Raw genomic sequence first — 27,055 nt, 5'->3', positions numbered from 1 at the left:
CCTCATCTGCCATGGACTCCTCATCTTCAATGGGCAGGGTGGAAACTGCAGCTTGTGCCATGATCCCTGTGCAAGAAAAGTAGTAAGAAATTGAATGGTAGAAATCCAGTATCCTAAACTCACATCCAGAGCTGTGAGAGTTTTTCACTGGCTGGCAAATTGTTTTTTTGCATCAGAGAAAAAAACAAAACTTGGTAACTTGGTATTCGATTTGCCCAAAACTCTCATCAGATAGAAAGTTAGCGGATGAATTCTCTATCTAGTATTATTTCCATGAAGTTAGATGAATATCACTCCCAAAATAAATCCACGTGGCAACCAGAATCAGTGCATTTCTCCCAAGAGGAGGTGGCCAAGCTCCCACATCTGTAATCCCAGCATGTTGGGAGGCCGAGGTGGGTGGATCAGGAGGTCAAAAGATTGAGACCATCCTGGCCAACATGGTGAAACCCTGGTCTCTACCAAAAATACAAAAAATAGCTGGATGTGGTGGTCTGTGCCTATAATCCCAGCTACTTAGGAGGCTGAGGCAGGAGAATCACTTGAACCAGGGAGTCAGAGGTTGCAGTGAGCCGAGATCGTGCCACTGCACTCTAGCCTGGTGACAGAGCAAGACTTCGTCTAAAAAAAAAAAAAAGAAAAAAACAGTAAAATACAAAATGTCTTTTTCTCCTAACCTTCTTAGCCTTCTGCTGGTACTTCAATTTCTGCTGGTACTGTTTGGTCATTGCCCTCTAAAGAATGATGGCTTCCTAAAAAGAAAACAAACAACATATAAACCAATAAAAACTCACATTGAAAGATAAAAAATAATCTAGGTGACGATGCAAGCACTTTTAAGACATAATAGGCCAGGTGCAGTGGCTCACACCTGTAAACCCAGCAGTTTGGGAGGCTGAGGAGGGCGGATCACCTGAGTTCAGGAGTTCGAGACCAGCCTGGGCCAACATGGTGAAACCTCATATCTACTAAAATACAAGAAATCAGCCAGGCGTGGTGGCGGGGGCCTGTAATCCCACCTACTCGGGAGGCTGAGGCAGGAGAATCACTTGAACCCAGGAGACGGAGGTTGCAGTGAGCTGAGATCGCGTCGCTGCACTCCAGCCTGGGTGACGAGAGTGAAACTCCATCTCAGGAAAAAAAAAAAAAAGACATAATAAACATAAAATATGATTCTATTAACTCTATTAATCCAAATAACGTTTTCTAATTCAGAAGAAATATATAACATGTCTATTTGGTAGCTTAAAAACATTCTTTTAAAATACAAATACAGTAGACCCAAGTAGGCTTGGGGACTTAATATTAGTTACTCTAGCTACATGATAAAATTACTGGATATTGGAATCTGAAGCAGCACAATTATGCTTCAAGTACCATGCTCATCTGTCACTGACACACACACACAAGTGTGAATGCCTGCTTTGCTCAATTAACTCTGTAAATAAGTTCAGGATTTGCTGTGGAATGTTCCCTGCTTTCCATTTTCACTATGGTGAAAGTTATGGAAACTCGATCCCCATAATTTAAGCAAAGTTGTACTTAAAGTAACTCATATGTAAAAATTTAAGATACTACCTTTAGTGTCAAAAACATTTTAATCCAAGTAACGTAATCTGCCTGCTTCTAAAAACTGGCATATAAAGCAACAGATCTGTTAGGCAGTCACAAGGTAAACAGGCTCATCCTACTGGAGCAGAAGTTTTACTCACAAATATGAAAGAAATAATCTAAAATATCAGAGTGCCACTTAGGATTAAGACCACAAACTGCCCCCAGTACACATCCTCTGTCCTTAAAGATCTGAGCTACTAACATGGAAAAGATTGAAAAACACTGTCTTCAAGTATAAATAAAAATATATTACATTTCGGTAAGAATACATTGTTTAGGGGGAAGGGAAGCAGATGCTCATCTATTTTGTCCTATCTATTGATAACTAAATTCAGAAGCTGTACTAAAAGTCAAACAAAAGTTATAAATACATCTCAATTTTTAAAGAGCAATGATTACAGTCAGAAAAACTCATTTGGTGGCTAGTATTCTTGAATTAAAAGTGCCATACCAAAGTGAAATCTTTTTGGTTTTCAACACCTAGCTTTTTCATGTCACAATTATTTTGGGATTCTTTTCCACTTACTGCATATTGTGAAAACTCACCTGAACTCAAAACTCTAGGTAAATCTATAAACCTGTAACTCAGAATCCACCTTTAATTCATTTGTAAAATACACTTTCTCTGCACACATTTCCTCTCTCTTCTTTTAACCGTAATATTTGGATTTAGGGAGCATCAAGTTCCTTGACTGTAAAGTCAATGAAAAAAGAGATATGAAGTCAAAAGAATGGGAGATAATGAACAAGAGGCCAGTAGTTAAAAAGTAAAATTTCAATAAAGAATAACAGTTAAGATGGTCGTTCATGTTATTACCCAAACACTAGGGGTTTCGTCCAGGTCCTCCTGCTCATCGGAGAAAAAGCCAGTCACTGAGGTGACAAGTACTGCCAAGGAAGAAAGCTTTAACCTGGTGCTGCGGCCCAGGAGCTGGGAGCTCAGTCTCAAATCCATGGGCTTGACTAATAGGGGCAGGAAAAAAATTTAACAATGTATAAGAGAACAGAAATTAGGGAGGGGCAGGAGGCATGTGGTGCTGTGATCTGGTATGTTTCAGTTATCTGATACTTCCTGAAGGTCTTTTTTTGAGGAGAGAACTCAGATACAACAGATCCAAGTTTCAAGCTTTAACAGCAGGGTCAATTTTGACGTTCATCCAAAAAAAACCCATCCATTGGGACAACAGGGCCGGTGTCAATGTAAGCAATGATTCTGTAGTTCCTCTTTGTTCTTTCAAAATCTAAAATAAACAATTGAATTTATATTATATGCTAAATCTAAAGAAAATACATCTTGTTGTACTTGAGGCCAGAAGAGATAGAAGTAAGGCAGTCAAGTTTGGGAACATTATAAAAAATTCAAAAAAAGTAATAAATGCATAAAACTTACAGAGTAACAAGTGCTATTTCAGAATTCTTCTAAATACTAAGTATTCACATGACCTTATCAATATTTGCATTACTAACCATACAATAAGAACTTGACTTCTGACTGTTCTGAGATAAGGGATAAATGTGTACTTTACCTTAAATGGGAAAGTGCATCATGTACCCACTTCGAGATTCACAACAGGGAAAACTGATTTGAAAAATTGTTGCTTGTGAAGTTCATTTATATGTTAAAAAAAGGCCAATACATTTTCCCTTTTCCACATAGAAAAGGAACACTATACTTATAAATACTAAAACACAGTCTGTGGAATACAAGGAACCAATAGAAACAGTATGTAGGAAAATGGAAGTGAAAAGATTATACATTGCAAAGACTTCAGTAGAAGGAGTTTTTCATCAACATCATCAGTTTCAGAAGGGCCTGCTTTGGGATACAAAGACAATACTTCAACAGTAACTCCCCCAAGCCAGACGCAGCGACTTATGCCTGTAATCCCAGTAATTTGGGAGGCCAAGGCAGGCAGTGAGGTCTGGAGTTCAAGACAAACCTGGCCAACAGGGTGATACACCGTCTCTACCAAAAAATACAAAAATTAACCAGGTGTAGTGGCATGCACCTATACAGTCCCAGCTATATGGGAGGCTGAGGCAAATGTACTCATTTTTTCATTCCTGCACCCAAGAAACTGCAACCAATCTACTCTGTTAAGAGCAGAGATAAAGGGTTTAGACTCCATATTACATGTGAAATAGAAGAAATGAATCAGTTTAGTATGAACTTGTATGCACTTTTGGAGAGGAAAGTAGGTCAAGAAGCCATTAAGATACATGAAGGAAGGTCAAATCTTAAAGAAAACTAGAAATTCAGATTTATTTACATAGCTCTAGAAGGAAGAACCAGGAATAGTGGAGAATGAATGTAGAAAACATTTTTAGTGAATGAAAGCATGAGATGATAACACAAGCAGCCACCAATGGAACAAACTGATGTGCAACAGCGGATTTGCCGTCACTGAAGCTATCCAGTCTCCAACTGTTGCAGGTATTACAGAGCTATCGAGAGTTTTAGTAGGCGGCTGGGGTTCCTTTCAGATCTGACATGGCATGATGCCAAAATGCTGTACATGCTCTCATCTTTTTCTGGCTCATTTTTTTTCTCTCTTCAGGTTTCTTAACCTTTTATCTACTTCCCTCTATTAATAATCACCTAAACCATACACTCAGTCTTCTGGAGTAAATTTCTTTATCTTTCACTTCACAAATAAACATCTTTGATGGATGAAAACACCGCAGGAAAGCCACCTAAGCAGATATGACTTCTCAACTTTTTTTTTTAAGTGATTTCCATTCATCACTAATTCCAAACAAAACAATTACAAACTATCATAAAATTATTAGAAAGTGAAAATGGGAAGCATTGGTTAAATATGTGTTTAGTATGCTTCACCATGTCCTCAAACATATTTAAAAAGTTAATCCACACTTCTTTAAGTGCATTGGGGGACTTGCTTTAGATTAAAAAATATGTTAACTATTTCAGGACACTAAGGACCTTACAAATCTGAATTAGCTCAGATTGGCTGCTATCTCCTCAATTATTTTCTGATAAATAAGAAACAAACAGTAAATAGCAACTTGCAGAAAATCTACCAGTAGTACACAAGGGCAGCCAAACTTCAAAATTCTTGCCACTCAAACTCTAGACGGTTACTATTTACTAAAATGTAAATAATAAAAAGACTTTTCTCAATCTTGTCCTCCAGAAAGAAAAGCCATAAAGTTCAAACACTAACCAAAAAAAGGGTAAGGAGAAACGTTTATATATTGGCGTTCCTTTTATTAGTGTCTTCACATACAACACTCCTCAATTTTAAACACCGCTTTCTTTCAGAAGACAAAACCAAGACAAAATGGTAGAAATCAAAGGGTTACAGACTTTGATTTAAAAGGCATAACCTTTTCAAAAATGAAAGCTATCGATGGATCACTTCTGAGAAGAAATTCCCTGGCACTAGGATAGAGGTTGGAAAACCATCTTTCCAGGTGCTCTAAAATAGAATCCTCTCATAGTGCAAGAGTCCTTCTAATTCTAGGGGTCTAGGATTATTTTTATTATTATTGTTACCTTTCCCGTTCTGGAAAATCCTCAAGACTCTGTCTTGTAAATGTCACCAACCCAGTAGGTTCTACAGAAGCAATAAAAGAAAAACATACCCAAAATAAGTTTCAATTTTGAAAACATTATACACACACACGTGCACACGCGCGCACACACACTCGATAAAAGAATAGGTCTAACATTGACTATAAAACTAACCAGGAAATACAAAGCCTAGCATTGGAAAATAACAGAATATTGATTGAAAATATTATCCTTACAGTAGAAACTCCTATAAAACAGTAAGACTTCACTAAACGAAACTATACAAATAACAGCACAACAGTAGGATTTGAGTGCTGGTACTTTTTGGTAAAGTTTTGAAGCTGAATACACTTTTAAAAACAAAACCATTGAAAAAAAGGATGTATAACTGGTACAGCTTATGCAGTAAAGACAAAACTGAATTCAAATTTGTAGACTCCTTTACAAAGAAAGGACTTAACCCTACATTCAAAGACTGGTGAATAAAGACACATTTATGTACTTTGTAGTAAAGTGAAATGCCACAGCTTTAAAAAGAAAATCATTTGCACATCCTCTGAAGTTAGTAAAGCTAAGTTTCAGGCTTAGATAGTGGGCAATCACTCTACTTGTTAGTAGCAGTCTTAGCCAGAGAAGAAATTACTGGTTCTAAGAGTTTACAGAATAAAGATGACATATTTTTCAAGAAGCAATACATTTGGGAGGATCAAAATGGAGTAGTATTAATGTAGTCAATAATTTTAAGAGGATGAGATCCTTTTCTAGTCAGATTTATTTATTTTTTAAAGCTAGTAGCAAAAGAAACAAATATATCAGCTGGCCAGAAGTAATTTGTCTGACTCAAATCAAAGAGCAAACTAAAAAGGCTATGCCATTTCTGTTTTCTTGAATAGAAAAAAGCTCTTAAGGAAAGAGAGAGATGTCAGGAACTATTACTGATGACAGTGTATAACCCAGTGAAAGCCTGGCCATCATTTCATTCCTATGCACAATTCCACATTTCCTTGTTCTCAGTCAAAAGCAGGAACCACTCAAAAACCATACGGAGCAGTTGCAGAAGAAAACAAAATTTTTTGTTAACATAGGTCTTACATTCTTTAGATATCTAACTTTAAGATAAACGGATAACATATTTAAAACTCACGAGTAAGTGGTCAAACAACTCTAACACTAGAGATGCAATTCCATGAATATAATAGAAAACATCTCTCTTGTCATTCGGTAACTTAGCAGAGAAGTAAGAACACCAAATGTCCTTCATATATACTAAGAGATGCTAAGAGAAATTCGTAAACACTGCTGGCAAAGCAAGAAAAGGCAGAAGAACATGGTTTCTCAGATTAACAAAAAATGCCTTGAGAGCATGTCTGTTAGCTTTCTTTTTCATAACAAGGCAACTTTCATCTCAGAATAGGATACTCTGATTAATCAAATACTTCCCATAATAAAATCACAATATATACTACATACAGGTCATAAATTTTCAAAAATCTGATCTATAAGATACTTTATCTAAAACTATATAAAAAGTAATTTAATTCAGAAGGCTTTTTAAAACATTTCAGTCTCAAGATCCTCATCAAATATAAAATACACGTTTAACAACACTGAAAAGTTGGTCCTGATGGAATTCTATTTTATCAATTCTAAAAGGCGGGTTTTTCCACATACTACATTTCTGAAACTGGAATACATCTTTTATAATGGAGGTATCTTACCATAGGTCTAGACTAGAGGAGAATTTTCCCAGAGAAGGTGTGCATCTGCTTCTGCTGTCATCTGGGAACACTATCAGCCCAACACCATCTGAATTAATCCTTTGTGGCAGGCCTTTGTGGACCACACTGGTGGTAAGGCTGCACACCCAAAGCTTAGGGCTTGTGGTTCAAATTCTCAGAGAAATGTTTTTTTCTTTCTCTATTTAGTGTCAAGGTTGAGACTTGCATGCTTCTTTATGGTCCCTTTTCTGGATGGTCAAGTTAATTTCTCATTTATCCCTAGGTGTACCAGCCTTGTGGGTTAGGTCTCCTACTAAACTCCCTGTCCTGAGTGTTTTTCCCTTCTTAGAGGTATATAATGTAATAGCACTTTTTAAAAATAATCTATGACATCTTAGATTCGATGAAATATGGTACCTTAAATAAGCTTCTCCAGTCTATTGAGTAGGCTCCAGAACTTCTACACAACGACTCATTATACTGCAACCTCTTTTATTCTCTTTAGGATTTCCTCTTTAAACCGTTAGCTTTACATACTGCAGACCAAGAGCAATGTTGTACTGTATTTCTACAAAGAACTTAATTAACATGTACAGTAAAAAAGTCAGAAAATAAAATGTCTAGTTATAATTTATTTCTTCAAATTCCAAATACTTATAATGGCATATACATTTCTAGTTTAAAAAACAAACTTTTAGCTTTTTCCTCAAAGTATCTGAAATCCTAAAATGTAGAAAGCCAAGTTAGTTTTTAGAGAAGACATACATGATTTGACTCCCAGGACAAAAAAGTAAACTCTGTACTACTTAGTTATAACAATTCTACTTAAAACGGCAACTCAAAGTACTGTAAAAACAAAACAAAAAAGACCAACAGTAATAATTCTACTTAGACCTAGAATAGCCAAAAAAAAGTAGTCATTTTTTTTTTTTAGACATAATCTTGCTCTGTCACCCAGGCTAGAGTGCAGTGGCACAATCTCAGCTCACTGCAACCTCCACTTCCTGGGTTCAAGTGATTCTTGTGCCTCAGCCTCCCGAGTAGCTGGGATTACAGGCTCCTGCCACCACGCCTGGCTAATTTTTGTATTTTTTAGTAGAGACAGGGTTTCACCATCTTGACCAAGCTGGTCTGGAACTCCTGACCTCGTGATCCACCACGCCTGGCCTTACGTAGTCATCTTTTTAACAAGTCATTACAAATTCTAATTTGATTTTGTGTCTCATAGGTCCAAATGATTCTGCATTTTAATATTTCATTCAGTACAGGGCACAAAACTGAAATTCAATAAGCTATGAGATAAATAATTCCGTATCAGAGAAGCATATAATGTTCCCTTAAATATTAAAATCCTGATAATTGATTTCATTCTAAAAATTTAACAATGTCCAATAGCAATACATTCAAGGGGGAAGATGCCAAGTACACTGTCATGCAAGAGTAAAAGAAGGATATGAGAAAAATGACCTTAAAATTGTTCAAAGACATGTTTTAAGACAATCCTACAACCCAGAACTGAAAAAAAGCCATTTCACTTGACCAGGTTGACATTACCTACTTAGCACAAAGAAACTTTTAAGGTGTTCTGGTTTACATCCACTTGTAGGAAAGGCTACCCATTGATAATAGCTTACATTTATTAAGCATGTATCTCCTTGTTTAATATCTATAACTACCCTGTAAGATAATAACCATTATTATATTATTTCATAGGTGATAAAACTGAAGCTTAGAGGTGTCAAGAAACTTGACCACGGTCATTCAGCTTCTGAGATAAGAGTGGCAATACCAATCTATTATCAGTTGGTCATTACCAGTATTTGTTGGACATTTACTATTACTGCCTCAGCTGCTTTCAGGTTTTGGGGAAGCAAGAATGTTAAGGTTCAATAGAGGAAGATGGATATAAAACTCAGTACAAAACAGTTTTATGAGAACTCCACAAAGGGCTTAGGGGGGCACAAAAGAGAGGAATGGGTAGAAAAGCAATGCGTTAGTTGACTTATACAAATAAACTAGTGAATGCTTCTTTAAATAAAGAGCATCCAAAATTTATTTCCTGGTCAATATAGTTTCTCTGGTTTTTATTCATGAAAATGTTTTGATGTATAGAATATGTGTCCGATTTCAGAGTATGTAAACCCCGCCCCCCTACATTTATAGCACACATTTATGCTTATACACAACACAAGCATAAAACCGAAGTTACCTTGTCGCATCATTACTGTTTCAATGTAGTTGGGACAGGAAGGTTTACGTTAAACACAAAATGTTCCTCACATGTCACTTGACTTGAACTGTTCCCATCAGCAAGAAAAATTACTGCAAGAATGAAAGGAGTTCACTTTTCTCTGTGACTGTTCCAAAGAAGCGGAAGAGCATTTTAAGTTTCTCCGGTTTCCTTGATGAATGTCCCTCAAACAACCTAAAGGACTTAAAAAATAAGAGAATGGAAGATGAGTTAAAATGCCTTAATGATTCAGAAAACTACATCCATATTGCTACCAAGTAACAAAAAGAAATAATTGTTCCAGAAGACAATTCTGTAATGATAAGAACTAGAAAATTGGTTTAGATTCAAATGGCATCTGGAGAGAACTGAAATCAACTAGAACCAGCCTTCTTCAAAGCTGTTCAAATCAGACAGCATTTGCTACCAACCACATTTCTCCAACCTATCTTCCACCACAGAGAAGGCACCATCTAGCCCTCCCAGTCAATTGGGGTCAGTCAGTGCACAGCTACTTTCTCAATGGCTAATAACATTTATAATTCATAATGTTACTACGTAGTTTGATAAGTAACAATAACAGTATCTGAAAAAAATCCTTATCTGAGTGTTTTTGAGGAAATGAGAGTGGAGGGGAATGGGGGAAGGACACAGGCAGGTATAACAAGATATCAGGGCTCAACAATCCTTGTTAATTAAACAACTAGTTTCTTTTACGGACTGAATGTTTGTGCCCTCTCAAAATTTATATGTTGAATCTTTAATCCCTAATATAGCTAAATTTGGAGACAGGGCCTGTGAGGAGGTACTAACAGTTAAATGAGGTCATGGGGTGGGACTCTAATCTGATAGAACTGGTGTCATTTTAAGACAAGGTGAGACTACAGTACTCTCCCCTTTGCCATGTGAGGACAAGATGCCAGCCAACCTATAAGCCAGGAAGAAAGCCCTCATCAGGAACCGAAGCAGCAGCACCCTGATCTACAGCTTCTAGCCTCCAGAACCGTGAGAAAATTAAGCCACCCAGTTCTATGGTATTTTATTATGGCAGCCCAAGCTGACTAATAGAGATCCTTTGCACGGTAACCAAAACAGTGCCTACCCTGTGTCATCTAGTTTTCAGCAACCCGGACTTGGATTACTTAATTCAGTTTCCTTTGAAATGATGTGGCATTGTTATTGGTAACATGTAATTCAGTTTATTCTGAGGAAAGAAAAACAGGGCTTTAAAAGCATTATGACCTGAGTAAGTAGTTCACTAAAAGATTTGTAACACAAAAGCATGCTTTTGAGTATGAGATCTAGCTTTCCAAAGGCATTTAAAAATTATAGAGACTCAGTGGCTATGAATGATGAAGTACTCTTCATCTGCCTCTAGCCATGTGCTCTGACTTTAAAACCAGAGACCCTTCAAGTAAGGTCCACGTTAGTAAGTGCTGAAATGGGTAATTATTTTTCATGATTACAACAGCAAGCTTATGTAACTACGCTGAGAGGGAAAAGTTAATTCCATGAGAAAATCCTATTGAGCGACTGAAATAAATTAGGAAAAGGAAAGGAAATGCAGATTTCAAATGGTTCCGTTTTCAACGATCTGAAATCTGTATTCAAGGCCAATTTCTGGAAAAACAATTTATGTGAATATTTATTTCCTAGAAAGAATACTAATGTAGGCTAGTATTTTAACCAAATCTAAAATCAGATCTCTTTTTTAAAAGTTTAAGACAGCCTGTGTGATAATTTTTATTTATTTAAAAGAATCTGTCTTCTAAAATATTTAATACACATCTCTTATAATCCAGTTGCTAGTTGAAACAGGGTACAGGTTAAATAAGATAGTATTTCTAAATGGATTCTGAATGGATTAAGACTCAATAAAATGGACATTTTATTGAGTGAATGGAGAGATCTAATCCATCTGGCAAGTCAGTTAAGAGAGCTTCTGCTGCCATTTTTATTGACATGTAATAGTGTAATAAACTCACATGTAATACTGTAAAGCTCTGTAAAAAAATTTTAACCTAGCCTATTTGTTTAAAGGAGATGTTAACAATTCATGCTCCCTTGAACCACTTCATTTTTGCTTTTAGGACAGGACTGTTCATTAACACACACAATCAATTACTAAACACAATTACTGAAATAAATATTATCAAGCAGTAACCAAAAAATTCAACGTAAGGCTATCATACCCAAACTCCAATATCCAGAAGCCAATTTAAGTAACCCATGCCTCCTTGGCAAAAGTGTATGGATATTACCTTTTCCTTGTGATAGTAAAACCTATCCATTTTCTTACATCACCCAAGTATCAGCTTTTACACTTCTACAAATAAAGCAGACAATGAACATACTGTGTAGAAATCTTGAGCCCTTAATTAAAAGGTACTCACAGAGTTGTATCTAAATCATTGGCTACAATGATCTAAAACACACACACACAGTTATATCTAGGTCATTTGCTACAGTGATCTAAACCACTTCATTTACATCTTAGTATTAATCACAGGACAAAAACGCTAATATTTTCAGAACTACAGCCAGTGTTGCTATCTGGCACAGGCAACGTGTCTTCAAAACCCCTTGATACTATGTGTTTGCCCCCAAGTAAATAGGAGGGAGATCCAGGCGCCCCTTCCAAAAGCAACAGCTTAGAGGAGAGAAGGAAAATCAAAGATACTGAGACGATTCATTTTAGCCAAAAGCGAACCTGCCACCCAAAAGAGCAAAAAACAAAATCTGAAAACTAAGATGTATGTTATTATATGTTATTCACAGAACTTATCTGCAATATTTTTAAAGAAAAAATTACAAAACCGTGTTTCTCAAAATGTTACAATAAAATTTTATGTGTGTAAAGTCTATTTTACGTGTACATTTGTGTGTGTGTAAAAGAGAGGGGATTATGAATTAGGAAGCGTATGTACCAAAACATTAGAAGTAGTTATCCTTGGGTAATGAGATTATGATTTTCACTTTCCTCTTTATACCTTAATATATCATCTCCAAATTTACAATCAGAATTCATTATAAAGCTATTGCATTTTTATTTATTTATTTATTTTGTGAGACATGGTCTCACTCTGTCACCCAGGCTGGAGAGTGCAGTGGTGCAATTTCAGCTCACTGCAACCTCGGCCTCCCAGGCTCAAGCGGTCCTCCCACCTGAGCCTCCTGAGTAGCTGAGACCAATCAAAGTTAAGTTTTCTTCGGTTTAAAGTAACTTGTTATGTTGTTTAGCCTCATGGTAACCAGAAAACAAAAATCAACAGACACTCTAAACATAAAAACCAAGGAATTAAAACACTACCAGAAAAAATTACTTCACTACAAATAAAGACAGGAAGAAAGGCAAGGAGGAAAGAGAAGAAATAAAAAGAGATCAGAAAGAAAAGAGGAAGGGAGAAAGAACAAAAGAAAAAGCAAAACAATCAAAAAAGTAAAAAATGGCAGTAGTATGTTTTTATCTGTAATAATCCTGAATGTAAATTAAATTAAGACAGAGTGGCTGAATGGATTAAAAGACCCAATTATGTCCTGCCTACAAGGAACTCAGTTCACCTATAAAGACATACACAGACAAAGTCAAGGGATGATAAGAGATATTCCATACAAACGGAAACAAAAAAAGCAGGAGTAGCTATACTTAGATAAAATAGCCTTTAACTCAAAAAAAGAAAAAATAAAGATAATTATATAATGAGAAACAAGTAAACAGCCGTTAAGTGCATATGCAACCAACACTGAAGCACCTAAATATAGATGCAAATATTAACAGGCTTTAAAGGACAGAGGGACTGCAATACAATAATAGAGTAACCTCAACACTCCACCGTAATCAACACCCCACTATCGCGAACGGACAGATCATCCAGACAACAAAACATCATCAGTTAAACTGTACTCTATACAGAATGGACCTAACAGACATTTACACAGCTTTTCACTCTGCAACTGCACAATGCTCATTCTACTGAGTGGCACATCGATTATTCTACAGGACAGACTGTGTTAGGCCAAAAAACAAGTCACAACACTTTTTTTTTTTTTTGAGGTGGAGTCTCTGTCTCCCAGGCTGGAGTGCAGTGGCACTATCTCGGCTCACTGCAAGCTCCGCCTCCCGGGTTGACGCCATTCTCCTGCTTCAGCCTCCGGAGGAGCCGGCCACCACACCCGGCTAATTTTTTGTATTTTTAGTAGAGACGGAGTTTCACCGTGTTAGCCAGGATGGTCTCGATCTCCTGACCTCGTGATCCCGCCTCGGTCACCCAACACATTTTTAAAAACTGAATTCATATCAAGTATCTTTTCTGACCACAGTCGAATAGTATTAGAAATCAGTAACAGATAGAACTTTAAAAACTGTACAAATACATGGAAATTAAAATACACGCTCATGAACAACCAATAAAAGAAATGAAAAAAATACAAGGGAAATTAAATATTTATTGAAACAAGTAAGAATAGAAACACAACATAAATCCTGTGGGATGCACCAAAGGCAATTCTAAGAGGAAAAGTGTATAGCTATAAATGCCTGCATCAGAAAAGTAGGAAGATCTCAAATAGCCTGACAGTACACCTCCTGTAATGAGAAAAACAAGAACAATCAAATGCTAGAATTCGCAGAAAAAATACCATAAAGATTAGAGAAGAAATTTTAAAAATAGAAACAAAAAATACAAAAAGTCAATGAAACAAAAGCTGGGGTGTTTTAAAAAAAATCAAAATTGACGAGTTTTAACTAGATGAACTTAGATAAAAAGAAAACAAAGTCATAAAGAAGGCATTACAACTGGTAACCCAGAAATACGAAGCATTAAAAGATTACTAAAAACATCACAAAGAAATTGAAAAATCTGGAAGTGAATACATTTCTAGACACATAACGAATTCCCAAGATAGAATGATAAAAAATAAAAATAAAAAACCTGAACAGACCAATAATGAGGAATGCAATTAAAGCAGTCATAAAAAGTCTCCTGGCAAAGAAAAACACAAGAATCATGGTTTTCCTGCTGAATTACCAAACATTTTTAAAATAGCTAATATCTATTTTACTCAAAATATTCCCCATAAAATGAAGAGGAAGAAAGGCTTCAAAACTTGTTCTATGAGGACAGCATGACCCTGGTACAAAAACCAGACCAGAACACAACACAAAAAGGAAACCACAGGCAAATATCCCTGATGAACAGAGGTGTAAGAAATCCTCAGCAAAATACTTGAAAATTGCATTTGACAATGCAATAAAAAGATCATCTGCCATGATCAAGTGGATTTCATTCAACCCAGGAATATGAGGATGATTCAATAAACACAAATAAATATGCAACATCACATTCAGCAAATCAACAACAAAAACCATATAATCATTTCAGTAGACGCTGAAAAAAATAAAAGTCAACATTCCTTCATGATAAAAACTCAACAACATGAGTACAGAAGACACATATCTCAGTGCAATAAAGGCCATATATGACAAACCCACAGCTAACATAATCAAGAAGGAAAAGTTAAAAGCTCTTCTCCTCTAAGATCTGGAACAAGTGTGGCTACTTTTACACCACTTTTGTTCATCATAATACTGGAAGTCCTAGCTAGAGCAATTAGGAGAATGCAATAAAAGGCATCCAAATTGGAAAAAAGGAGTCAAATTGTCTGTTTCCAGGTGACATGAACATATATAGAGAGAACCCTAAAGATTCCACAAAAAACCTACTAGAAACAATAAATTAGTCAAGTTCCAAGATACAGTATCAAAATATAAAAATGAATACTACACCCATGCACCAATAGTGAAATATCTAAGAAAGAAATCGAGAAAGCTATTTCATTACCAAAAAAATGATATCTAGGAATAAACTTAACCAAAAAGGCAAGAGATCCCAAAATGAAAACTTCATAAAACATAGATGAAAGATACTAAAGCAGACACAAGTAAATGGAAAGATATCCCATCTCTATGCACTAGAAGAATGTTAAAATATGTGTATCACCCAATGTGATCTACAGAATCAATGCAATCTATGTTCAATTACAAGACATTCTTCATTGAAATAGAAAAAGAATCTCAAAATTCACATGGAAGTTCAAAATACCTCAGATAGACAAAAGAATGTGGAATAAAAAGAAAAGCTGGAGGCATCACACTACCTGATTTCAAAATATACTACAAATTTATAGTAAGGATGGTACTATCAAAACAGTATGGTACTCTCAATAAAAGGGGCGGGGGAGAGACAAGAGAGATGAACGAATGAGACAGACAGACATAGACAAGTGAAACAGAATAGAGAAATCATAAATAAATTCACGCGTTTACGGTCAATTCATTTTTAACAAAGGCCCCAAGAACACACCTTCGGGAAGGACAATCTCTTCAATAAACTGTACTAGGAAAACCCAACACCCACATGTACAAGAATACATCTAGGCCATTACCTTACCATATACAAAAATCTACTCAAAATAAAGATTTAAATACAGAACCTGAAACTATGAAACTACCAGAGAAGAAAACATAGGATAAATGCTTCATGAAATTGGTTAGGACAAGGAATTTTCAAATAGACATCAAAAGCACAAGCAACAAAAGCAAAGATGTAATTACATTAAACTTAAAACCTTTTCCAAAGCAGAGGAAGCAATCAGTATAATGAAGACAGAACCCGAGAATGGAAGAAAGTCTTTGCAGCTATGCATCAGGCAAGAGGTTAATACACAAAATATCTAAAGAACTCAAACTACTCAAAAGTGAAAATACAAATAATCTTATTTTTAAAAATCTACCCAAAACTTTTGTCCCCCACCATTTCCCCACCTTCTTTTCCCGACCGCATTTCGCCCTCTCCCTCTCACCACCCTTTCTCTTCCTCCATCTACCCCCAAACGTTTTCACCGTTTTCTCCCCACCATCATTTCGTTTTCTCCCCGCCCCCGCCCCCGTCATTTCGCAAAGCCTTCTCTATTCTCCCGCTCACCACGCTTTTCCCCAACCATCTACCCAAACACTTTCTCCCGTTTTTTCCCACCGTATTTTCCCCCTTCTCCCTGGCCACCCTCTTTTTTCCCCCTCCTGCTGTCATCATGCCCTTTTCCTCCTCCATCTAAGCAAAAACATTTTCCCCCCGTCTTTTCCCAAAGCCTTTTCCCTACTCCTGCTGCTCACCACCCTCTTTTCCCCCTTTATCTACCCAAAAACTGTTTTCCTCATTGTCTTTCCTCCTGCTCCTCCTTGCCACTCTTTCCCTTCTCCATCTACCCAAAAACATTTCCCCACCATCTTTTCTCAAAGCCTTCTCCCCACTCCTGCTCACCTCTCTCTTCCCCCCATCTACCCCCCAAAATTTCCCCATCTTTTCACAAAGTCTGCCCCCTCTTCCCACTCGTCCTCTTCTCTCCCCTATCCTGCTTGTCACCCTTTTTTTTGCCCTGCATCTATCCCAAACTATTTTCCCGTCTTTTTCCCACCCTTCTTTCCCTGCTCCCTTCTCGCCACCCTCCTTTCTCCTCCTCGTCACCCTCTTTCCCTCCTCCATCTACCCAAACACTTTTTACCTACCGTCTTTTCGCCACCATCTTTCTTTTCTGCCACTGTTTTTTCGCAAAACCTTGTCTTCCTCCCGCTAGTTACCCTTTTTCCTTCTCCCACTTGCTATCTTCTTCTGCTCCTCTATCTACCCAAAAACTTCTCTCCCCACTGTCTTTTCACAAAACCCTCTCTCCCTACTGCTAGCCCATTTCCCCCACCTCACCACTCTCTCCCCTCCCCAATTGCCACCATCTTTTCCCCCTTCATCCACCCATAAACTTTCTATCCACCGTCTTTCTGCAAAACCTTCCCTCACTCCCGCTCCACACCCTGTCTTTCCACCTCCATCTACCCAAAACCTTTTTTCCCCACCATCTTTTCCCCATCGTCTTTTTGCAACGCCTTCTCCTCCTCGCTATCCTTTTTTCCCTTTGGCAATAACCAAACTCTTTACCCACCCCTCTATCTATCCCAAAACGATTTTCCTCTTCCTACCCCTCCAGCCGCGTGGCAATCGCAAGCTCCACTGCCACCACCAACCATAGCGAGGCGAGCTGCGCCGCTGTGCCGTGTCTCAAGCCTCCAGCATATGGCCGGTGACTCCTTTTCCTGGTCCTCTAAGCTGGGCACTGAGCAGCTCAACAGTAAAACACCGAACCCTAAAAAAAAAAAACCGTAACAGCTTTTCAGCATCATTTATATACGGAGGTTATGCGCATGCCGGTTCCTAGACTTCATGTTCTGATTGCATGAGAGCAAGTCTTAAGATAACCAATCACAGCATGAAAATAAAGTCCAATCAGAGTAGGCCTAGAGGTTTTTCTCTCATCCAATCAGAACATGTAGTCCAGGATCCGTAACTTCAGTATATAAAGCATGCTGAGGAAGTGGTGCGTCATTTTTGGGTCTTCTGTGTCGGTGTGCTCAGCTGCTAGGTACCTGGGTTAGAGAACTAGAAGGGTCCATTAGTTTTCACCCGCTGGAGCCTGGAGCCTGGAGCCTAGGGCGCTGCCTCCCTGTTGGTGGTGTTGGTGACGGAGCGGTAGGAGGGAGGCTAGCAGCGGGAGCTTCTCCTGCCGGGCTGGAAGACGAGGAGAAGGAAGAGACACCGCTGCATGCTGGAGGCTGGAGCCAGAGCCTGCGCCTCCGTGGCTTACCTCGCTGCAGCTGGTGGTGACATCAGAGACCACAGCTCGGCTACAGTGGTAGCAATGTGGTTGCAGTGAGCCAAGATTGCATCACTGCTCTGCAGCCTGGCGACAGAGCAAGACACCATCTTAAAAAAAAAAAATTGACCACAGTGTTTTGCATCTGTTTCAGAAAAACAAATGATACCATTATTTAATATGCTGCAGTAACTAGAAGCCTACTTATAATGTTGGTGGCAAATAAGTCATTGGTATATGTTAACTTCCTATAATCATTTACATGTTCCTAAGAGTCACTTTGTGTATTTATATAAGAAGGTCAGCATGTAAATGATTATAGATAGAGAAACTTTTTGTTGAAAAGTAAGAAAGCTTGTCTCCCTTTTCCTAGTTATGAAGGAACCACCACCACAACAAAATAAAGCATACACTTTGTTTATAACCCTGAATCATGATTTATGGCCAGATTATCCTAGCATCCAACTGCCTACCTTGGCATTTATCAGTTGAAATGAGTCCAGAGAAAGGAATTATTTTTTATATATCTGCTGCTCTTGAAGGAGAAACCTTCCTTAGAGGTCACTTGTAAGAACAGGTTCCCAAATCGCCTATATCCAAGGCACTCTGGGCTGCCTGGGAACTCTACAAATCACAGTTTTGAGGGGTTCACTTTTCTGGTTGAAATTTATCATAGTTTATATGATGAAAGGATGACAGGTAGATACTCTTTAAGAGTTGAGGATGTGTTATGTTACCAAGGATTGTAAATATTTAATGAGCAAATGAGTTAGAGTTTCAATAATATTGATGGGACCTATTATCACTCACTTTCATCTAAAGCTCAGTGTTACTTCAAAGCATAAAATCAAGCGAACATCCCATGATTAGTTTCTTACACTGCTGTGCTTTGTGTTTTCATTGAATTCAGAGTATGCCTGTGTACTGTCCCTGGGAACACTGTATGAAAGGATTTTTAAAGTAGTCTGTTCTGATACTGGTTTGTCAATGAAACTTTTCAAAAAGGTTAGTTGAATATCACTTAGTGTTCTTTATGTGACCCTCTTGGGTCTCCTTCCCAGTGCCAAATTCCCCCATCTCAACCTCATTTGGACATCCTATATTAAGAAAAAACAAAGCAGGTACTCATCAGCAGGAACGGAATCCTATTCTCTTGACAGAATTCCCGTCATCTATAACCTGCTGGATAAATAGTTCAAATGCTGTATCTCTGTTCCTATTCCTAGACTTTCTGGCACCTATTACCCTTCAAGTCCATGTGTCTTCCAGTAGGTTGCAGTGCTCTCCCCAGGAGATGGCAGCTACCTAGATTTGTATGTTACAGAGGTGGTCGTGTGCCTTCTCTACCTCTCTCCTATGTTCCCATGTAACCTAACCACACAGGCCATAATCAGCTCCACCCTAGGAAACATAACATTGGTATACCTGTCCCTTGAAGTCCTTAGAGAGAATGGTCTGAAAACAAAGGGAGATTAAAGGTCTTTTCTGTTTCAGGGAAAGTATAGTTCTGTCAGTAGATTTCTGGTTAAAAGACACAGAAGAAGGAAAAAAGACACTCATCTGTAGGAACTCAGTTTAGCCAACGTGACTTCCACTTGGAAGCATTTTTCCTCTCCTCTTCAAGCCCAACTCTAGGGAATGTCCTGTGCAAAAATATCAGTGTAGGCGCATCTCTTTGCGGAACTGAGTTGCTCTGCTTTCAGTTTCCTCTCTCCAGTGCCCCCAAGCTCCTGCCTGGCTTCTTCTGCTGTTCAACCCAGGATCCCATGCTCTAGAACAGCCTTCTCACCATCTTTCCTCAGCTCTTAATTCAAAAGTCCCACTTCTAGTTCATGCTCAGAGAAAAAGCAAGTAGACCTAATCTTTATTAGAATGTGAATTTCTAGACAATAGTACTCTCTTTGGCTTACTTCACTGCCCTACATGCTGAACTTTCAGATAATATAAGGAAGAGAAAAAAGTCTAGATGTTGGAGAGGGAGTCGGTTTCAGGTAGGGAAGATCCAGTCAGTCCTACAGGTTATTATCTGCTCTTCAGCATTCCTTATACCTCTCTGGCAACAAGTGACAGGTGGGACCATATGGAGTTATTATTTTTTGACTTTTGGCTTACAAAATGGCTATTTTATACGATTCAGCCTAATGGGCTTTCATTGCTAACATTAGGGGTTACAGTTGAACCAGCCAACTCAGGAGGAAATTCAGAACCTGGATTCTTATAGTGATAGTGGAAAACAAATTCATGGTTAAGATTTGAATGTGAATTTTAAAATAAATCATAGTATTTTAAAAAACCATTTTTCCTTATTAAATATGTAACTTTGGAAAAGTTACTTAACCAGTTCATAATAGTACCTATTTTATAGGGCTGCTGTGGGGATTTAATGAGATCATTTATGGAAAGCACATGGCACTGTGCCACACTCATAATAAGTACTCATTAAGTGTTGGCCACAATTCTCACCAGCCTTGTTCTCTGTCCTCAGGAGATGATGACCATAATTGGAAAATTGCCCATGTGGTACTCAAAGAGGAACAGAAATTTCGCTAACTTTTCCAGGGCACAAAAGGCGACCCTCGGAACTCAACTGGGGGAATTTACCTGGATGACATCACTCTGACAGAAACCCCCTGCCCCACAGGGGTCTGGACAGTCCGGAATTTCTCCCAGGTCCTTGAGAACACCAGCGAAGGGGACAAGCTTCAGAGCCCTCGATTCTACAATTCAGAGGGATGCGGTTTTGGGTTAACTTTATACCCCCATGGCAGAGAAAGCTCTGGCTATTTGAGACTTGCTTTTCACGTGTGCAGTGGGGAGAATGATGCTATCCTGGAGTGGCCGGTAGAAAACAGACAGGTGATAATTACCATCTTCGACCAGGAGCCTGATGTCAGGAACAGGATGTCCTCAAGTTTGGTGTTCACTACCTCCAAGTTGCACATATCTCCAGGTGGGTGGTGTCGGCATAAATAAGAACTGCCCCTCGAACCAGAGAGGCCCACAGATGTGATTCTGTGGTGCAAGAAAGAGTAACATTCTCCTCACATTGTCCGCCTGGGAATACCGATAACATAGGCGTGTTGGAGTTTCAAGTTAAGATTTTCAATGCCATCACATCCTCCTTCCCTTTCCTAAATTCACTCATCAAACATCTGTTGAGGGCTTACCATGTGCCAAACTCTGTGCTAGGTACTTACAATACAAGTGAATCAGGTGATCCCTGCCTCATTGAGCTCGTTGTGATTGAGGAAACAGATACTGCTAATCATTTATCAAATACTCGGAACTTGCTAGGCTCTGTGCAGAGCTAATGTACTTACTCCTAAAATAGCACTCAATATCACTATGTTCATGAAATAAACTTACATCAGTAAAGAAATGGGAAAACTTTTTTTTTTTTTTTTTGAGATGGAGTCTCGCTCTGTCACCCAGGCTGGAATGTAATGGCGCAATCTTGGCTCACTGCAACCTCCACCTCCCAGGTTCAAGCAATTCTCCTATTTCAGACTCCCGAGTAGAGACGGGGTTTCACCCTGTTGCCCAGGCTGGTCTTGAACTCCTGAGCTCAGGCAATCAACTTGCCTCAGCCTTCCAAAGTGCTAGGATTACAGACATGAGCCACCACACCTGGCACTATTTTTTTTTTTCAAAAGAGAAGACCTAAGCCTCAGAAGAAAGAAGCCATAGCTGTCCCTCTCTTTTCATTAAAAAAATCACGCAGTAGCAGACAACTGATCACTCAGAGCTGTGATTCTCTGCCTTTCCCATCTTTCAATTCTGAATTTCAATTCTCCTGGAAAGAGTAAATAGCTTAATTTTTTTCCAACATTTTTTTATTTTTATTTTTATTTTTATTTATTTATTTTTTTCTGATTCACAAAGCCCTGTATCCTCATAAAAGACAAACTGGAAAGCGAAGTCTAAAGAGGTAATGTGATTTTATGTTACCTACAATTTTGCAGGGACAAATGACACTGTCATCTGGGACAGGCCGTCCAGGGTGGGAACCTATCATGCTGACTGTAATTGTTTTAGAAGCATTGACTTTGGCTGGAGTGGTTTCATCTCCCACCAAATGCTGAAAAGGAGGAGTTTCCTGAAAAATGATGACCTCATCATGTTTGTGGACTTTGAAAGTACTTTTCTTGGTCTTCCTGAGTAAATAATCCTATGCTCTTGGCACTCTACTGATTTTATCCTGATTTTAAAGCACACATGGAGGGTGGGGATGAGGTTAAAAAAAATGTGTTGTAGGAGAACCACATTTTCTTCAGTTGGTCAAGGACGCACATCTTTATTTTAACTGTCCCTGAAAGAAACTGAAATTTTAGTGTCATCTTTTTGAAAATTTTATCAGAGGTAACAGTTCACTGATTTCAATTTAGTTTCCATCAGTCTATCCATGCTAACTTTATGCTTCATTTTGCAAATTCAATAAATAAAAATGTGACTGGATTACTTTAAAATAAAACTAGCTAGTACCGTGGGAATCAGCTGGATTCAAAGCCACTTTTCCATGTCACTGGGGGTGACATATCACTAGAGATAGAAGCAGGCTGGGGAACTTTCACCAGAAGTGGGAGTTCGCTGTAGTCAGTTACTAATCCTGGATCTTCCTCGTGACCCTCTATTTCCTGAAGATATCACCCACCTCAGCCAGACTGAAGTTCCCACTAAAGGCAAAAGACTGAGCCCCCAAGGCCTCATTCTCCAAGGCCAGGAGCAGCAGGTCTCCAAAGAAGGTTCAGGAAAGGCCATGTTAGAGGAAGCCGTACCTGTCAGCCTCAGCCAGGGGCAGCCCAGCTGACAGAAGCCGTCAGTGAAGAACACAGGCCCCCTGGAGGACCATAACTGGCCACAGTACTTCAGAGACCCATGTGACCCAAACCCTTGCCAAAATGATGGCATCTGTGTGAACCTGAAGTGGGTGGCGAGGTGCAGGTAGGCTCTGTGGCTGGGGAGACAGGCAGGCCAGCAGACCTGGGCCGTGTGCATGCTTATGCCTGGTAAAGGCTGCTGTTTGCAGAGTAGGGCGAAGACTACCTCAGATGGTCAGCTGGATGCAGTTTTCCTTGACTCTACAAAGGTGTGCCCTGGATTCATGGGCTTACGCTGCCAGGACAGAGGCGTCCCAGGTCTCCTTGTCTCTTGACTTTCACCCCTTTTCCTCCTCTGGGGTATTGTCAACAGCATCTTGGATGTTGTTGGAATTTCTAACTCTAACAACATCCAAGATGGCTTCTAGCCTAGGGACTTTCTACTCCATGACAGTGGGTCTCAAGACCAAGCTTAAATCTTTGCTGACTACGCAGATGTTATTATTAGCTCCTAATGATTATTAGTTATACAGTCTGTCATTTACACTGCACTATTGTTAAAGTTATGTTTTCAATAATAGTAGTAAGAACACCTGATATTTCTGACCCCTTGTTATGCATCATGTGGTCTCCTGAGCATCTTACACGCATGATCTAAATTCATTCTCACTGCCACCTGTGACATAAGGGCTCTCCTTATCCCCATTTGGTGTATCAAGAAGTTGAGGCTTAGAAAGGTTAAGTAATTTATCTGAAAGGTACCCAGATGGAAAATGCTGAAGCTGGGACTTGCATCTAGGTCTGTCTGGCAGCACAGTTTGCTATATTTAATGTTTAAATATTAAAAAGCAGTACAGTTTGCTATATTTAAATTTAAATATTTAAAAAGAACTTTAATAGTTCTTTTTACAATGTTTGCTTGCATAAAACCCTAAAAACTGTTTCACAAAAGGAGGTATGTGATGACAGAAGCAACAGTTCCATTTGAACAGTAGCAGATGTAGGAGCTATTCTGCCTACCTCAAAAATTTACATTTCTTCTGAGTTCTTTTTAGTCTCCTTTTTTTTCTTTTTGTAGCTTTTGCTTTGCAATAATTTTAGACTTACAGATACCTTGCAAAAATACTACAGAGGCTTTCTCTATACCATTCACCCTGCTTTCCGTAATGTTGGCATATTACACAAACCATAGTACAATTAGCATAGCCAAGAAATGAACATTGGTAGAATGCTAGTAAATAAATTACAGGCCTTATTCGGCTCTTCCCAGTTTTCCCACTAATGTTCTTTTTCTATTTCAGGATCCAATTCCGGATCTCACGTTACATTTAGTTTTTATGTCTCCTGTCTCCTAATCCCCTCCAATCTGGGACAATTCCTCAGTTCTTTCTTGTCTTTCATTACCTTGACACTTTTGAAGATTACTGGTTAGGGATTTTTTTTTGGTTCATCTTGTTCTCTCATGATTAAATTGAGGTTTCACATTTGTGGCAAGATTAGTAAATATGTGCTGTGCCTTCTTGTTGCATCATGTGAGCAGGTACATGATGCTGATACATGTCATTACTGGTGATGTCAACCTTCATCATCTGGCCAACAGCATGTCCACCAGGCCTCTCCACTGAAGAGTTACCATTTCTCCCTCTGTAATTGATACATATCTTGGGAGAGATAGTTCAAGACCATTGAGACATCCTGCTTTTCCTCAAATCCTCACATGCTAATTTCAGCATCTATTGATACAACCTGCTGCAATACTCACCACTGGGATCTTCTAATGTTGATTTCCTATGTCCTTCACATTCATTAATTAGAATTCTTCTGTAAAGAAGAATGGCCCCTTCACCCCGTTAATTTGTTTATGCGATTGTTTATGTATATCACAAAGGAATCATAAACATTGATTCAGTGGGCTCTGTTGCAATGATTTCATAATTTATTTTGTTGCTTCTATTGTCCCAGCTTTGGCCTTTGGGAGCTCTTCCAGGTTGGCTCCTGTGATCTTTCAACATCAGATTTTATGAACACAATGTTACTTTCTGGCACCATAGCATGCTCTAGGCTCATCTTTTATATTTCCTGCCCCACCCATAGAATCAATCACTCTTCCAAGAAGCCCTCTGGCTCCTTTTACTGGGGAAGGCCCATCTGTTTCTGGGCTCCAAAGCCATGGGTCTTCATATCTTTGCCTGACAGGTCCTTAGATGCCAGATTCCATTGTGTGCCCCCAACACGCTTCATCCTTCCCAGGCTAAGGGAGGCCAGGGTTGCCACTTGTATGTCAGCCTCTACTCAGCCAAACTATTCCTCTCCTAGAAACCTGCAGCTGAGAGTTGGCAGAATAAGTTTTTCTAAGATAACAGTAGGGGATATTACGAAGTTGTGTTTGGAGGGGACTGGGTCAGAAAAAAAATGAAATAAACTTGCTATTACTCACTGATTTCTAAGAAGTCAATTCTCAGGATAGAGATGAGGACTTGGAAGGTAAAATCATTCAGGATTAGTAAAAGAAAATGCTGACTTCTTCTTCTTTTTTTTTTTTTGAGACACAGTTTTGCTCTTGTCACCCAGGCTGGAGTGCAGTGGCACAATTTCAGCTCACTGCAACTTCGACCTCCCGGGTTCAAGCAATTCTCCTGCCTCAGCCTCCCGAGTAGCTGGGATTACAGGTGCCCGCCACCATGTCTGGCTATTTTTGTTGTTGTTGCTGTTGTTATTTTTAATACAGATGAGACCATGTTGGCCAGGCTGGTTTCGCCATTTTGGCCAGGCTGGTCTCAAACTCCTGACCTCAGGTGATCCACCTGGCCTCCCAAAGTGCTGGGATTACAGGCGTGTGCCACCATGCCCAGCCAGAAAATGCTGACTTCTGATTGTTTCACTCTGCCTTGTAGAATTCTGCTGAGTAGACCTTCTAGTGGGAATGTTTGAAACAAAGGCTGGAATTTTTACAAAGGTATGGATGAGACACTACAAGTTATATGCCTTGGTTATGAGATTAATTCGTCTTTATACCAGATAACATTAAGAAACAAAACTAAGGGCTGGCCATTATGTGCTTACTCTGTGTCAAATACCTTGATAGGTACAGTGTCCTCATTATCTCAGGTGAACTTCAGGGCAACCTTGTGAGATAGTGACAGTACACACTAACCTTACAGTAACATTTTATTTAATATTATTTAGACGTTTTCAAGCTACCACTGATGCTCTAAGTCAGACTGTATCTGGGGAATTTCCTTTGTAGCTTGTATTCTTAGCCAGTGTCAGGCAATGTATTCCTTTAAGTGTCTCAGACCATCCTCCTGAATCCTAGGTGGCTGAGAAGCCTGGATCTGGAGGCATACCTCTTGGGATTAGATTTCAAGTGTGAAATGCTTACTAACAATGGGACCTTGAGCAAATTATTTAACCTTCCTGTAAGATGAAGATGATGAGAATGGCCAAGTAATAGCCTCCACCTCAAAAGTTGTTGAAGGGTTAAATTAGTTGGTCCATATACAGCACTTGAAATGGGACCAGGCACCACGTGGACCTGCTCAGTGAGCGTTTGCCATTTTTATTGCTGTGGAGATGAGTGTTGCTAGGAGGCACCTGAGGCCTGGGAGTTCCCACACTCTCTTCATGTCCTTTTCCCTCAGGTGCATCTCTGGACATGCTTTCTTCTAAATGGGAGCGCTGTCAGGCCATGCAGTTGCACGGCAGCGTCCTGGGCATGGTGATTGGAGGCACGGCTGGTGTGATCTTCTTGACCTTCTCCATCATTGCCATCCTTTCCCAAAGGCCAAGGAAGTGACCTGCCTGTTGGCATTGGCCAGACCACAGCAGCACCTCCTCCATGCAGGCCTTACCTTCCAATGGTCAGTGCAGTTTGGGGCAGCTTTTTTGTCAGCCTTGCTTTGGATAGGACCTCCAAGGTCTAAGGCCTCCAGCCCCATGTGTGACCCTTGTCATCTTTCTGCCCCACATAATTCTGTTACTCTGCTATGTGCTCCTAATGTATCTAGTGTGTCCTGTGACAACATTCATCATACTTCATTGTAAACCACTTGTTTGATTGACTGTCTTTCCTATAGACTGTAAGCCCCATGAGGGCAGGCACATGTTGTTATTGACCATGCTGGCCACGTGCCTAGATGCATGGCTGGCACATTGTGGGCACTCAACAATGGTTGAATGAATAAAACAATAAATGAATGAATAAGATATAGAAACTCTCATTTATATTGCAGATCAAATATATATTATGAAATTCTTATGTTGAATATGTTAGAATCAAATACTCATTTTTCATTAGACACAGTACTGTCATTACTCTTTTAAGATCTTGTTAAAGATTTCAAATAAAGGTACTTCCAGGCAGCCCGGCTTCACAGCATTTGCTTTCCTCTGAGATTCTAAGAGAAGCCCTTTAATAAATTTAATAAATATTGAGTTAGCA

General features: G+C 39.0%; 1 long non-coding RNA gene and 1 pseudogene across 12 annotated transcripts; one reads left to right on the top strand and one right to left on the bottom strand.

Annotated features, from left to right (window-relative positions):
- Position 1: 1 nt before the first annotated feature.
- Positions 2 to 25,131, bottom strand: LOC102724431 (uncharacterized). 12 transcript variants are annotated; one of them, XR_929624.1, is made up of 9 exons: positions 25,052 to 25,131; positions 17,127 to 17,290; positions 9,077 to 9,300; positions 7,285 to 7,445; positions 5,132 to 5,192; positions 2,432 to 2,855; positions 2,161 to 2,306; positions 678 to 752; positions 2 to 66 (listed from the first exon to the last, which is right to left on the bottom strand). It is a non-coding gene; the product is annotated as an uncharacterized LOC102724431 (long non-coding RNA). The 12 variants fall into 12 exon arrangements; XR_929623.2 differs by lacking the exon at positions 25,052 to 25,131 and having other exon boundaries at positions 17,127 to 17,315; XR_929626.2 differs by lacking the exon at positions 25,052 to 25,131 and having other exon boundaries at positions 7,285 to 7,403; positions 17,127 to 17,315.
- MEP1AP1 (meprin A subunit alpha pseudogene 1) lies at positions 20,281 to 27,055 on the top strand (annotated as a pseudogene).

Source organism: Homo sapiens, chromosome 9 (assembly GCF_000001405.40).
Source record: "Homo sapiens chromosome 9, GRCh38.p14 Primary Assembly".
Taxonomy (NCBI): domain Eukaryota; kingdom Metazoa; phylum Chordata; class Mammalia; order Primates; family Hominidae; genus Homo; species Homo sapiens.
The sequence above is the reverse complement of the archived record's forward strand: the minus strand, read 5'-3'. Positions and strand labels throughout refer to the sequence as shown.